This window comes from Homo sapiens, chromosome 2, assembly GCF_000001405.40.
Source record: "Homo sapiens chromosome 2, GRCh38.p14 Primary Assembly".
NCBI classification, from domain to species: Eukaryota; Metazoa; Chordata; class Mammalia; order Primates; family Hominidae; genus Homo; species Homo sapiens.
The window spans coordinates 40,245,697-40,259,878 of record NC_000002.12 but is presented as its reverse complement, the minus strand read 5'-3'; the positions used below and the strand labels follow the sequence as shown (position 1 = coordinate 40,259,878).

At 37.5% G+C, this 14,182-nt stretch overlaps 1 protein-coding gene and 1 long non-coding RNA gene across 24 annotated transcripts in view; one reads left to right on the top strand and one right to left on the bottom strand.

The window, feature by feature from the left end:
- Window positions 1–14,182, top strand: part of SLC8A1 (solute carrier family 8 member A1) — a 415,166-nt gene that overhangs the window by 252,557 nt on the left and 148,427 nt on the right. The window lies entirely within an intron of this gene.
- Window positions 4,670–14,182, bottom strand: part of SLC8A1-AS1 (SLC8A1 antisense RNA 1) — a 337,576-nt gene continuing 328,063 nt past the window's right edge. Inside the window, exons 4-5 of the long non-coding RNA NR_038441.1 lie at window positions 8,105–8,195; window positions 4,670–5,459 (exon numbers count right to left, since the gene is read on the bottom strand). This is a non-coding gene — a long non-coding RNA (SLC8A1 antisense RNA 1). The remainder of the gene's footprint in view (window positions 5,460–8,104; window positions 8,196–14,182) is intronic.

Here is a 14,182-nt window from a genome sequence, read left to right as displayed (position 1 = left end):
AGGGTCTTATGCAGAAACTAATAGAAGATACATGGCCAAGAGAAAATTAAAGCTTATTTACTTGGTATACTAGCCCAAACTCTTTGCCAAAGTTTGAGTAAAAAGACTATTGTTTTAAAAAATCAAAATAAACCTAAGGAAAATAAAGATTTGCTATATTGGCAATAGTAAATCAACCTCCAAACCCTAAGAAAAGAGGCTTCTAAGAAAAGGTTCTCTTATGGGTATAAAGATTGAGATGGGGTTAGCAGGGCATGGTGGCACATGCTTGTAGTCCTAGCTGAGGCCAGAGGATTATTCGAGCCCAAGAGCTCAAGGTTGTGGTGAGCTTGGTTGCATCACTGTGCTCCAGCCTGGGCACAGAATGAGACCCTATTTTTAAAAATTAAAAAAGAAAAAAGATTGTGAAGAAAGTGAAGAAAGCAATGGGAAAGAGCTCTGGCAATGGGATAGAAAGAAATGGGATTAAAAGATATTACCTTTTCAAATAAGGCAATATCTAGAGGGTAGGACTTCTGTTAAGTGGATCTCTATGTTGGACAGGTGTGGAAGGAGCTGTTGAAAACAGTGAAGACTCAAATGTTTAGGTCTTTCAGCAGCCAAGTATTTGTAATGGAAGGCTTCTATTATCTCCATCCTTGGAAGTGGTCCAGCTCAGAACATCAGCTAGGAATATCACAGACAGAATTTCTCTCATTACTTGAAAAGATTGATTCTATTACCTCTAGGGTCCATTTCAACTCTGAGCCATCCAGAAATCTACGTTGGAGACTGCCTATGGACTTTCTCCAAAGTACTAATAGTAACACCTCACACCCTCACACCTGTCTCACTGGCTCAGCATCTCTGAGGTCTCTTTATGTCTCACAATTTATAGTAATTAATCTATAGAACTGTGCTAAACTCTAAAGAAACTGGATGAGAAAAGTATTTCCTTTTTTTTTTTTTATTTTCTTTCTGGTTCAATTACAACCATTGGGGGATATCATCAGGAAGATTGGGTTTTTTGTTGTTTTTTGTTTGTTTTTTGTTTTTTTGAGATGGAGTCTCACTCTGTTGCCCAGGCTGGTGTGCAGTGGCGCAATGTTGCCTCACTGCAACCTCTGCCTCCAGGGTTCAAGTGATTCTCCTGCGTCATCCTTTCATGTAGCTAGGGTTACAGGTGCCTGCCGCCACACCTGGCTAATTTTTGTATTTTTAGTAGAGACGGGGGTTTCACCATGTTGGCCAGGCTGGTCTCAAACTCCTGGCTTCAAGTGATCCACTGTCTTCAGCCTCCCAAAATGCTGGGATTGCAGGTGTGAGCCACCAGTGCCCGGCCAGTAAAGACTGAGTTTATACCAACAAGATCAAAGCCCTTACACTTTAGCCAAGTCCAGAACCCCAAGCAGGGTTTTGGGTGGAGAGGGAGGAAGAAATGACAGGTAGGAGCCTTGGTGCAGGAGATCATATTTCAAGCTTTAGGACCAATCTGAGAAGGAAATACGAATGTCAGTTACTTTCTTTCATTTTGACGTCTGAAGGTAAGTGGCTTCCCACACGTTGGGAAGTACTTTGTTCTTGCTCTTGGCATGCCAGCACTCACAGTGGCTAGAACCCATCCCAGAGACATGCTCACTTAATGAAGGAACAAATTGCTGAGCACTACATCCGACCTTGGAGATGTCAGTCTGTAGGCAGTCAGGGAAGCCAAGGGTTGTAATTTGAACAAAATGTCACTGTTTAGAGATTTTTCTTTATGTGCTTTTTCTGTGATGATAAATTACAGGCCTGTGCAGGGGATAATAACACAAAATGTTTGACAGCTTTTCTTACAATTGTTTGGCATTCTGTTTGCTTAATTATTGTCAGCATCACCCACGCTGGTATATTGTTGAAGGGAACTGTAGTGCCTGTCAGAGCAGGCACCCGCCATTCTCCTTTCCTCCTCACTCTACTCCTGTCGTTGTGATTACAGTTTAGGCATTATCTATCTTTGCTGCGGGAAATGCTTTATTAATCTTGCAGTCCTGTGTCCATGTGGAGATGTGGTTCTGCCATCCAACCAGATAGGAAGACAGAGCAGAAAAAGTTACTGGAGAATTTCATGAAGGTCAAATTTAGAAAAAGGACAATTTGGTTCAGTTAGGTGCTTTGCACACTGAGGAACATGCAGAGAAATCACTTGCTTTATGGGTTTGGATTGGGAAATTATCTATTTATGTAATCACACTGCTTTGAAAGGGAAGGGAATTAATTGCTTTAATTAACTCCAGTAAAGACTAGATTGTCACAGGGGGAGTGTTGATAAAATGTGCTTTGAGTGATCTGATACGCTCTTGGATATAGTGGCTGGAAATAATAGCTATCTCTGTAATCAGTCATTTTCCTTTCTCTGGGACCTCACTGATGATGTTCCTTCCATAAACTAGGCTGCCTAGAGGGTCAAAAAAAGGAAAGGTCAAAAAAAAAAAAGGTGGTAAACAGCTAATTTCCATAATCGTCATTGATTTTTTCAGGAGTTTCATTATCATGTCTTCGGTTTCCTCTGATTTGGGACCATCTAATTTTCCACCAGTAGCTGATTGCAAGTGAATGGGACATGGGAAGTATGCTTGCGTGTTAGGAAGGCACTAGAGTACGACAGTGAGCTAAGATCTTTTTATTTATTTATTTTTTATCTTTACTTTTTTCCAATGAGCTAAGATCTGAAAATGATTTTCATCATGCATTTAGCTAAAGCCCAATTAAAAAGATTGTAGTAGACCGTATATTTAGATTCAGGCTGAGAATTATGATAAGATGTAATAAATACACAGATATGTATATTTGTTATGATTCATTTTATTCATTTATTTATTTATTTATTTATTTATTTATTTACTTACTTGATAGGCTCAATCTTATAATTTGTCAGATGAGACTGCAGAGACTTTTGGGGCTGAGTTGCTGATGGGCTCACCTACTGTTCTAAAGGGAAGCAACATTCTCCCCTCTCAAGTTTCAGAAAAGGGAAGGCAGCCAGAGAGTAATGCAAAAGGCTGTCCCAGGTGGCAGAATAGAGGGATTGCACTCAGCATCCCCAACCCTGTGGATGCAGGAAGTACCCTTGGCCTCAGGCATCCTGCAGGCCTAAAGTGTGTTCTGGGGAAAGCCCAGCTCAAAATCTGGTGATAGGCCTACAGCCTTCTCTAAAGACATTTTTTTTTCCTGCCCTCCATTGCCTGGCTTAGCATTAGGAAAGGTTGGGTGATTTAAAAAACAACAACAACAAAATGAAGCTACTTAGCATTATTATGGAGCAATAATGTGTCCAAAAGGGAACGAATAATTTAAGACAGAGGAAACAAGAACATTAAATGCGTCCAGTAGAACACTTTAGACGTAAAGATAGAATCACTCCCATTATGCACCCTTTGAAAAGAGGACTGTCTGTCTTTTACATGCCTTCTGGCATTTTTTTTGTCATGTAAATGCATATATGTGTATATGTATACATCATAATGATCATACATTCTTGAATTCATGAAAGTATATCTTGGCCAGTGAGCCTTGGTCTTAAAACACATTAGAGTAACCCCATTAGAATCCAGGCAGCCGTCTCAAAAAAGGAATTTTATATTCCACACCTCTCCTACCCTCTTCCACAGAGTGTGTGATGTGTCCTTAAGAGTGTGTTGACGTCATTTGGTTAGGAGTGGGAAGGTCCAATATCACCGGATGTTCATTTTAGGACTCAAGTAAAAATGCCGTGTGTCTTATGGTTTTAGAAATTTCTTGCAAGATTATGCAGATATTGCCAGGTCACAGTCTCATTGTCGTTACCCATCCTGTGGCTTCGGTTAGATTTCTGAGTTCCCATACAGCACTAGGAACAGTCCCAGGGCCTGTCAGCATTGCTCTTCTAGTTTGCAGACTGACACCTCTGTACCATGGCCCTAAATTCAGTTATTCACTTCTAAATACATGTGGACTCAAGGATGGTGCCAGAGAACACCAGACGTAGTCTTTCCTTCCATCTTTTTAGTGGAAGTTTCTTGGGCTCAGGGTAATCACATTTTCTTGACTAATTGATGTGACAAGTATATCATTTTGCTTCCTTTTCTGCCACAAGCCTTGCCTCATAGATATGTTTGAAGGATACCGTGATAGTCTACCCTTAACATAGTTTGTCAATTAAGGCAGAGGAGATACCCTCAAACTCTTTTCATTATTCTCTTAATTCTGCACGTATTTATTTTCCACAACAAAATTATGAGATGCTAAAGCTGGAGGCCTTCACTATACAAATAAGAAAAATAAACTCCAGAGAGGTGAAGTAACAGAACCAGTCTCATAATTGCAAGAGAACCTGAAGCACTGAGGTTTCCTGACACTTAGTCCAGAACACTTTCTCCCTACTACACATCAGCCTCTTTTTGATGATAGTGGAGATGTTCTCTGTACAAAATAGTTTAGAAGAAATGTTGTACATTTTCCCTTTGAATATACATGATGAGAGATGATAGTCCAATAGCTGGGTGGCATTGTGAGCTTCTAGGACCTCCCAGAAGCTGAGGATCTGTATCCCTGCCATGGGCTGCATCTCCAGCTGGTTTTCTGCCCACTCACAGCCTGCAAGTGTGCAGATGGTAAGGATATCATCATTTCCACCATGGGGGGTGGGGGAGAGTAGGGGGAGAAAAGACACTGTTTCATTTAAGTTTATTTCAAATTCCTTGTTGTTTGTCATGTTAACATGCTCTCACATTTGCAGACATTAACCAACAACTAGGAGGAAAAAAATTCTTGTCTTAAGCGCAGACATAGAGAAATGGCATCTAAGAAAAGGTCTGTCATTTAAGGAGAAAGAAATAAAAAGCAAAGAATGAAGACAGTCAAGGAAGAAATGAAGAAATAGAGAAATAAATTAGAAACAGGCGAGATAGAAGGAATGGAAGACTCAGTGACAGGGCTCAATCCTATACTGTTTTTATAATTAAATAGTGCCTTGCACATCAGCCCAGTGTTCACTCTTTGATGTAATTGCCTGCTCATCAACATATGCAAAATTACAATTGCACAGTGTGAGTGCTCAAAGGAAGATGTTAATATTGCTGTAATGAGCCTGTCAATCTTGTGAAAATGAACAGAAACCAATATGCTGGCAGAAGTTAATCTCCAGAGAGACAGTTTGGTGGATCTGATAATTGACCAGTTAGTTATTCAGATCAACTAGACAGCATTAGAGTGGCATTACCTTGGAGTGTATGTGTTGTAGGTTAAAACTCACAATTTTCTGAAGGAAAATTAGAAATAATAAAAAAGAAATTTTTAAACCATTTCTATAAGAAAATGATATTTTCAAGAGTTCAAGAGACTAATTCTTTACTGCATTTAGCTTCATGTTTTTGATATTTTCAAGAGTTCAAGAGAGTAATTCTTTACTGCATTTAGCTTCATGTTTTCTGATGACCTGTCTGATGCAGGATCTAAATAGCCTGAAAAAAAAAAAACAAAAAAGCATGATTTACAACTTAAGAGCATTTTGATAGAAAAAGGATATGTTATTAATTCAATATGCCAGCTCTGAAACTGAGTTTTGCATGCTGTCTCACAAGGTGTGGCATTCATTTTGACCGTTAATGTAAGGAAATTACTTAAGACCCCAATCTCATTTCTATTTTTAATTTATCAATGACTTAGCAGTTGGAATTAGCTTTTATTTTCTTTTTTTATATTAATTTTTTGTTGACATAATGATTATAAATATTTCTAGAGTAGAGTATGTGTGATGCTTTGATACATGCATAAAATGTGTAATGATCAAATCAGGGTAATTAGAATATCCGTCATCTCAAACAAACATTTACCATTTCTTTGTGTTGGGAATATGCAGAAGTTTTCTTCTAGCTATTTTGAAATATAAAATCAGTTATTATTAACTGTAGTCACCCTGTTGTGCTATCAAACACTGGAACTTATTCTTTTTAGCTAACTGTATTCTTGTACCATAAACCAACGTTTGTTTCTTTATCCCCCACTCCTGCTGTCCTTCCTAGCCTTTTTTTTTTTTTTTTTTTTTTTTTGGAGACAGACAGAGTTTGGCTCTGTTGCACAGGCTGGAGTGCAATGGCATGATCTCGGCTCACTGCAACCTCCACCTCCTGGGTTTAAGTGATTCTCCTGCCTCAGCCTCCCGAGTAGCTGGGATTACAAGTGCCCACCACCATGCCTGGCTACTTTTTGTATTTTTTAGTAGAGATAGGGTTTCACCATGTTGGTCAGGCTGGCCTCGAACTCCTGACCTCAGGTGATCCGCCTGCCTCGGCCTCCCAAAATGCTGGGATTACAGGCATGAGCCACCGCGCCAGGCCCTTTAGCCTCTTTTAAGTACCATTCTACTGTACCTCCATGAAATCCACTTTTTTATCTCCCACATATGAGTGAGAACATATAATACTTGTCTTTCTGTGCCTTGCTTATTTCAAATTAGCATATGTCCTCCAGTTCCATCCATGTTGCTGCAAATGACAGGATTTTATTTTCTATGGCTGGACAATATTCCATTGTGTGTGTATATATATACACATATATGTGTGTGTATATATGTGTATATATGTGTATATACACATATATACGTCATATGTACATGTATATATGTATACATATGTGTATATACGCACATGTATGTATATGTAAATATGTATAGATGTGTATACATATACGTGTATATATGTATATTTGTGTGTATATACATATATATGTATGTATATACATATACATATATACGTGTATATATGTATACACGTATATATGTATATATACTATATACATTTATACACATATATAGTATATACATGTACATATATACATATACTGATACATATGTATATACATATATACAGATACATATATATGTATATACATATATACAGATACATATATGTACATACATATACACACATATGTATATATGTACATACATATACATGTATGTATATATACACATATACATACATATAAAATTTGGCTCAAAATATATATTATTGGAATCAAATGTGTATATATACATATATGTATACACATGTATATACATATATATGTATATGTACATATATACACACACATATATATATGTGCTAACATTCACCTTCTGATTAAATTGAAACTCTCCAATAAAAGAAGAGCTGGTTTGCATCTTATTTTATCCCCCTTCTAAGCAAGCAACTTTTATGATGACAGGTCTGGAGAGAAACATTTAAAAATGCACTATCTTGGCCGGGCGTGATTGCTCACACCTGTGCACCTGTCATCCCAGCACTTTGGGAGGCCAAGGCAGGTGGATCACTTGAGGTCAGGAGTTTGAGTCCCTCCTGGCCAACATGGTGAAACCCTGTCTCTACTAAAGGCACAAAAAATTAGTTGGGCTTGGTGGCGGGCGCCTGTCATCCCAGTTACTTGGGAGGCTGGGGCAGGAGAATCAGTTGAACTCAGTAGGCAGAGGTTGCAGTGAGCCGAGATCATGCCACTGCACTCCAGCCTGGGTGACAGAGCAAGACTCCATCTCAATCAATCAATCAAAATACAAATGTACTATCTAAAAAAAAAAACTGCACACATATTTGCAAATGCAGAAAGAGCTGCTTTATATTTTGTCAGACTTCACTGGCTTATCTCAAACTCTGTAAAAGAATAAACCGCGAAGTCCAACATCTGAACCCAGATTCACTTCAGCCACCTGTAAATTCTCTCTATATGAATAAATTCATACAACCACATTATAGAAAATTTGGAGATGAAAATTAAAAGAGGGAAAATAATTCATAGTTTGCTCATCCATCAACACTGATTAACCATTTATTGTTTGCTCAACAATTTAGCAGATTTGTAATCATATTGCATATATGGTTATATAAAAACAAACTTTTTTCTCACTAAACTTTATAATAGCATTTTTTGGTATTATACACTCTAAACATTTTGGGGAACTGAGACTACTTGTATCTACACGGACTTTATTCATAATACCCGATGTATATTGAATGAATGAAAATATTGAAGGAGAAATAATTGCATTTGTATATATGGTTGGATTAGACCAACTTCTAAAAGAATAGAGAGACGAAAGTCATATGAGGCTTACCGTGCATGTATTTACTTATTAAATGGTGGCCTCCATCAGGCTGAGATTCAGCTGTTGACCCTCTCTCCCAGCTTCCAGTCACTGCCCTTGCCTGAGAAGCACAAAACAAACAAGTTGAGCGTCTCAATGAAAAGATCCCCTGTAAGACTACCTTGCACAGCGTATCAAATTGCAAGGGTTAAAGTATTATTAATAAAATAATCATGAGACAATGCACAGGCCTTACAAGCTTTATTTACAGGTGATTTACTAAGATGTGAGCCCTGGTCTGCCAGGTTTATCTCTCAGGGTCACAGATGGCCCTTTTTGGAAGAACGACTCTTCCATTCTTGTTATTTCTCCCTCTCTGCCTGCCACCTTTTCCTGCTCTTCTGAGATGAAGCATGCCACACAACAATGAAGAGATTTTCCACATTAGCAGTATTGCCAGCCAGCCACTTCTCTTTGTGTAAGTCTGTTTACACAGTCTCCTTGGCAACATAACGTAGAGGTTGATTTTTCTCTTTTTTATATCTATCTCTGACTAGCAGGTTTGGTTTTTCCCTTTGTCTGAAGCTTATCTACCTCACACACTGAATTATTTCTATTGATTTTTTTTTTAATTCAAAAAAGAGAATCATTTTCACACCTTAGTATTTTAGTATTTTCGCAATATCCCCTGCAGAAATCCAGTATTTTCAGGGGCTCTTAAAAAAATTCTTCAAAGTAATTACTGAATAAAACATTTCTTCTTGATTGGAACTTGCTACTCTTTAACTCTCCCGAGTTCTGTAGACTGTATATATTCTCCCCCGACGCCTTCATTTGATAGCTGGTGGGAGTTTGGGGCCACCCAAAAAGCCAGAATAATCATCAAATTCTGACCCTCCTTAGTATTGTGATCCAATCAATCATTGGAACTACAGAACAGTTACAGGTACTTTTTTTGCATATACATGTATGATTTCACCTATATTGTGCTAAAGTACACTGGGAAAACATCCCATTTGCCTTTCCCCAAACCCCAAATTCTAAACCAGTGGAACACAAGGCACATTTAACATAACTCATGGGTAAATGTGGGTTATTGAGAGACTCACATCCTTGGCTAGGAGAAAGTTAGGCGAAAGTTTCTTTAGTAGCAGATCACTACAATATGACCAAATTATGTTCCATAAGTACATCTATTGAAAAGAATAACTCGAAGAGTCACTCTTCAGAGAGATAGGCATCAGAATTATAAACACACGAGTCTCCTGACACCGCCCCCCCACGCTTGCACTTACATTTTCCTGTCATGGTATCAGAGCATGTATATGTTGAAAATTTATTCAGATCATTTCTGTTGTAAAGTGCCAGCTAATGATCACTAATTTTAATAATATTGGAATTAAGTTGGATAATCTATTATTTGCCAAGGTCTCAGATTGTTTTCTCCAGTTAGTACTTGTAATCTCTTCGTAATGCATATATTATTCCCAACTTGTAGATAAAAAACTGAAATTCAAACATGTTAAGTAATTTGTCTGTTGTCCAGAGCAAGAATTTTAACTCAGCTTAATTCCAAAATCCTGTTCTCTTTACCCTGTATTGAATTTCTTTCCCCCAAATTATAAAATAGTATTTACTTATTTCCAGACAACTTTTATTCTGCTAACACGTTTTATTTATTTGTCATCACAATGTCCCCTTTAACAATTTAAGCTAAGGAATTGTTCTGTAGCTTGTTAAGTCAGGTTACAGAACAATGGCTTGGTTAGAATTACTTTAAAATATCTCACACATACATACACCCGGAAGGTTTTGAGTATAGACCTAGACCAATAGATTTGGATGTTTACTTTTTAATATAACGGTATCTTCCTTTGAAACAAGTACTGCTACTTATCAAAATATATTTTTTTCAATTAAAATCTGCAAATTGAACATCAATTAGTCATTTCAGTGAAGTCTACACCCTTCCTGTGTTAAGTAAGATCTAGGCAGATAATACAGAGTAGAGACATATTTTGAGCCAAGTAATAAATTATAGCTTGTCAGTCCTCTCAGTATTTAAGTGATTCGTTGGCAATTTTTACTACCTGCAACATGAGAAATACATTGCACTTATTCAAATTGATGGTAATAGTCACACTGACTTTAAGTACAATTTACAAAAAACAAAGCCAAGATCCTAAAAGCTTGAATATTTTTAGAGGAATCATCTAGAATAGTGCTTCTAAATATGGTGTGAATTGGGAGAAGAGAAACACCTCCTCTCCCTTGACACCTTGTTGGAGACTGTGGCACAGGCCTCTCCACCCATTTAAGCACTAAGGGTTATGAAAATATTACAGAAAGTGGAAAATTATGCAAATGAAAGTACAGAGACTAAATTTTGAAAAATGCTGATGTAATGGGACACATTGCTTTGTTTCTATCCTTTTTTTAAAGTAAAAATACTTAAAAGTTTTGCAACCACTGTTCTCTTTATTTCAAAAGGTTTTGAAAGTATATACCTCAAAAACGGATAGGCATTTCTAGATCAAAACCCTATTTTTTTACTTGATTGATAGACATCATAACAGAGACTCTTTAATCAGTTAATTTCAGCTCTGAGAGATATAACATCAAACATTTTTTGTTCTATTTAAGATTTCGACAAAGTAGTGCAGATCTTAGCTTAATCAATGAACTTGATGAACTTCAAACGTCATTGTGTTTGTTTCCTAGAAGATATTGCAGCAGGACACAAAGGACCCAGGGACAGTTGGCAAGCTGATCACATCTGAAACTCAGCACGTCATCCTGTTCTCAATGAATGTCCCTAGAAATAAAACTTATTCTGCCCCTGGTGATGTGGAATCAAATTAAAAGACATCACGAGGTGAAGACTTTTTGTTTGTTCTGAAATTATGATCACAAGGTTACTTCACTATGCATAGATAAATAATACAACTCCGTCCAACCAGAAACGAACCTAAATCCCTAAAGATCAGAATTAGATCTTGGCTATCAACAGCCAGTAGTCCCACCTTCAATCTTTCTCCTGGCTACCATCATCTTAATTTGGATACACATGACAGTCTATTTATGCCCATACTATAGATCACGGAAAGGGGAATTGAATATAGGTTGTTAAACCTAGAAAAAAATGACATATTTTATTACCTCCCCCAATAAAGCCTCAATAGATATCTTAGTTCATTTGGACTGCTATAACAAAGAACCATAGACTAGGTGGCTTATAACAACAGAAATGTATTTCCCACAGTTCCAGAGGCTAGAAAGTCCAAGGTCTAGGCTCTGGCAGAGTCAGTGTCTGGTGAAGTACAATTTCCTGATTCATAGACAGCCATCTTTTCGCTGTGCCTGCAGGTGGTGTGATGGTAGGGCAAGGGAGATGTCCAGGGCCTCTTTTATAAGGGCACTAACCTCACTCTTAAGAGTGACCTAATCACTTCCCAAAGGTACCCACCTTCTCATCCCATCACCCTGGGAGTTAGGATTTCAACCTCTGAGTTTGGAGTTGGGAAAACATAAACATTCAGCCATTAGCAATAGGGAAACTTAGAAATCAATTTCAAATCACTGTAGAAAACTGACCCAACTAATTGGTACTTTATTTTTAATCCATAGTTGAGAACATTCAGGCCTCTTAACATATCTTAATGTCATCAAAAGTGTAGAAATTGGTACTTACTCCATGGAGTGCAGTTTTTAAAAAATCCATAAACAATTTTTGGTGTAATAGAGAACATACCTTAAATAAATCAAGCAATCTGTTTTAAGGGACTCAGAATCACTACCTAACATCACATTTGAGTTCACGGAACACACGCTTATAAAATATTGCTCTGCCACTTTACTGAGCATTGAGTATAGCTGACATAAGTTTATTTTTGCCTCCAAGTCTATTTCAGGTAATAGTGAACATAGCATTGAACGTGGAGTCCTGTTCTATAATTAATTACCTGCAAGACCTTTCAGAAAGTCACTTAACTTCTGTGCATATTGGGTTTCTACTGGGTCTCACCTTTGAAATGAGGGCTTCCAGGGATAATCCCTAAGTCCCTTTCCTCTTGTAAGTTATTTATGCATTTTTATTAGAATTCTATGTATACGTAAGCAGTTACTGTTAATGTATTAACAAAAAATTTAAAATAGAGTTATAAACTGCAGTGATTAAAATGTTTATTATTTGAACATAGGCCAATACAGCTAATGTGACACGTGACTTATATGCCCTGAGCCTTTTTTCCTCATTTTTGTAACACCATCTGGTGCTCTAGCATAAGGAAGGGTTTATTTAAATAATAACATTAGTAAAACCCATGCCTCAGATCTGTCTCTCTCTCTCCACACACACACACACACACACATATATATGCTGTTTTCTAAAGTTGCTTTGCTAAGGCTTCTGCCATATTCTGAGATTAATCCTTCTCAAACACGTGGCAAGTGAAATAAAACAAGATACTTCTGGATTTGGCTTAACCTAGAGCCTGGCTGTTCAGGACCATGGTAGAACTAAGCCAAGCTGAGCACTGCCTGCACCCATGACAGCTCTCTGGGGATAGTGATCGCTCCATTCCAGGCTGCAGAAAGCTAATGCCCTGTGGTTGGAAAACTCACCAAGGCTCAAAGCCTTCAGATGGCTAAGAGTTGATTCCAAGGTGCCAACTCCTTGCTTCTGCCCAGGAAAATGGCCAAACTCTCCTATAATACTAATCTATAAGAAATATGCTGGCCTTTCCACCCCAGCATGATTTCACACTAAAATGGCTATTTCTCACTCTTCAGATATTAAGTTTCTTAACATGTAAGAAAAGATGAAAGAATCCAAGGCAATAATGGAAAATATTCTTTTTTTTTTTAGCAGAAATATGTTAGAGTACAAACTTTGCCAGGCACTGGTAGCTACTGTGTTTTCACAGCCCTAGTCACATCTAACCATTTTCCTTTAAAATGACAGACTTAAATAAAAAAAATTCCTCTGAGGTGTCATAATAGAATCCTATGAAAAAGTAGCCAGAATTTAAAAACTTTTCTGTTTCAGAGAGTTCTAGCTTCCCATGAACAGCCTGAGTCTGAAAGCATATCAAAGCAATATGACTTCACCATCCATCTTCTGGAATTAATGAAGTAGCAGTGACTTTTCCTTATGAAAGGTCTGTTTGGAGGGCAATGTTGGAAACACAGTGCATTCAGCTGGCAGACCTTGAAGGCAAGATGTGCAGAAGAACTGACTGCACAGGAATCAGTCCTGAGCAGAGTGATTACCCCACAGTGTTTGGCTAAGCTGCTGTTATCCAAGGTTCTGCTGAATAAAACTCATAGAAGAACAAATGAACAAAGTCTGTCTTTAGGACTAGTTGGAAGCATTTACAGTGAACCATACCAAGTAAAACTCAAGAAAAAAATTTAGTTGCCCTATTTGACTCTGGCCAAAAGTTGCATGATTGCAGGGTAAACCCAATAAAAGCAGACGTTTTGAAGTGGAATCAGGACCACAGTTTGCGTATTTCAAGTTTCCCCTGTTGAGAATGTATTTCTAAAGTAAAAATGAGATAGATGTGTACCACATGCTTGTAGTGTATGTGTAACCAACCATATCCAAGATGTGCAACTATAAAACCTACATCTGGAATACATTTTTCCATTTCATCTTCTATGTGCACAGTTTAAAAATTAAGTATTGCCTAAGCAGAAAAAAAAGGAATTAAAACCTATGAACACTTTTAAAAGAAGAGAGGTTAATTGAGAAGCTATTTCTTAAACTAGTCTAAGACAGGTCATATGGCATAATGATTAACATCATAGGTCTCTGAGATGGACCTGTAGGGTCCTAGCTCAGCTTCTTATAACTATGTAACCTTGGTCAAGTTCCTTGACTTATGTAAACATCAGTTTCCTCATCCATGAAATGAGTCTCGAATGAAAGTAATGTATATAAAGCAGTCAACAGTCTGATATAAACCTCTTACCATTCTACGAGATTTAATTGTAGCTTAGAAACTGAACATGATGTCTATCTTGAGATATCTGTCTTGGTTTTAAAATGTGTTTTTCACAATATACATCACAGGAGAGCAGCAGATAGTCAAGAGAAGGAATGAT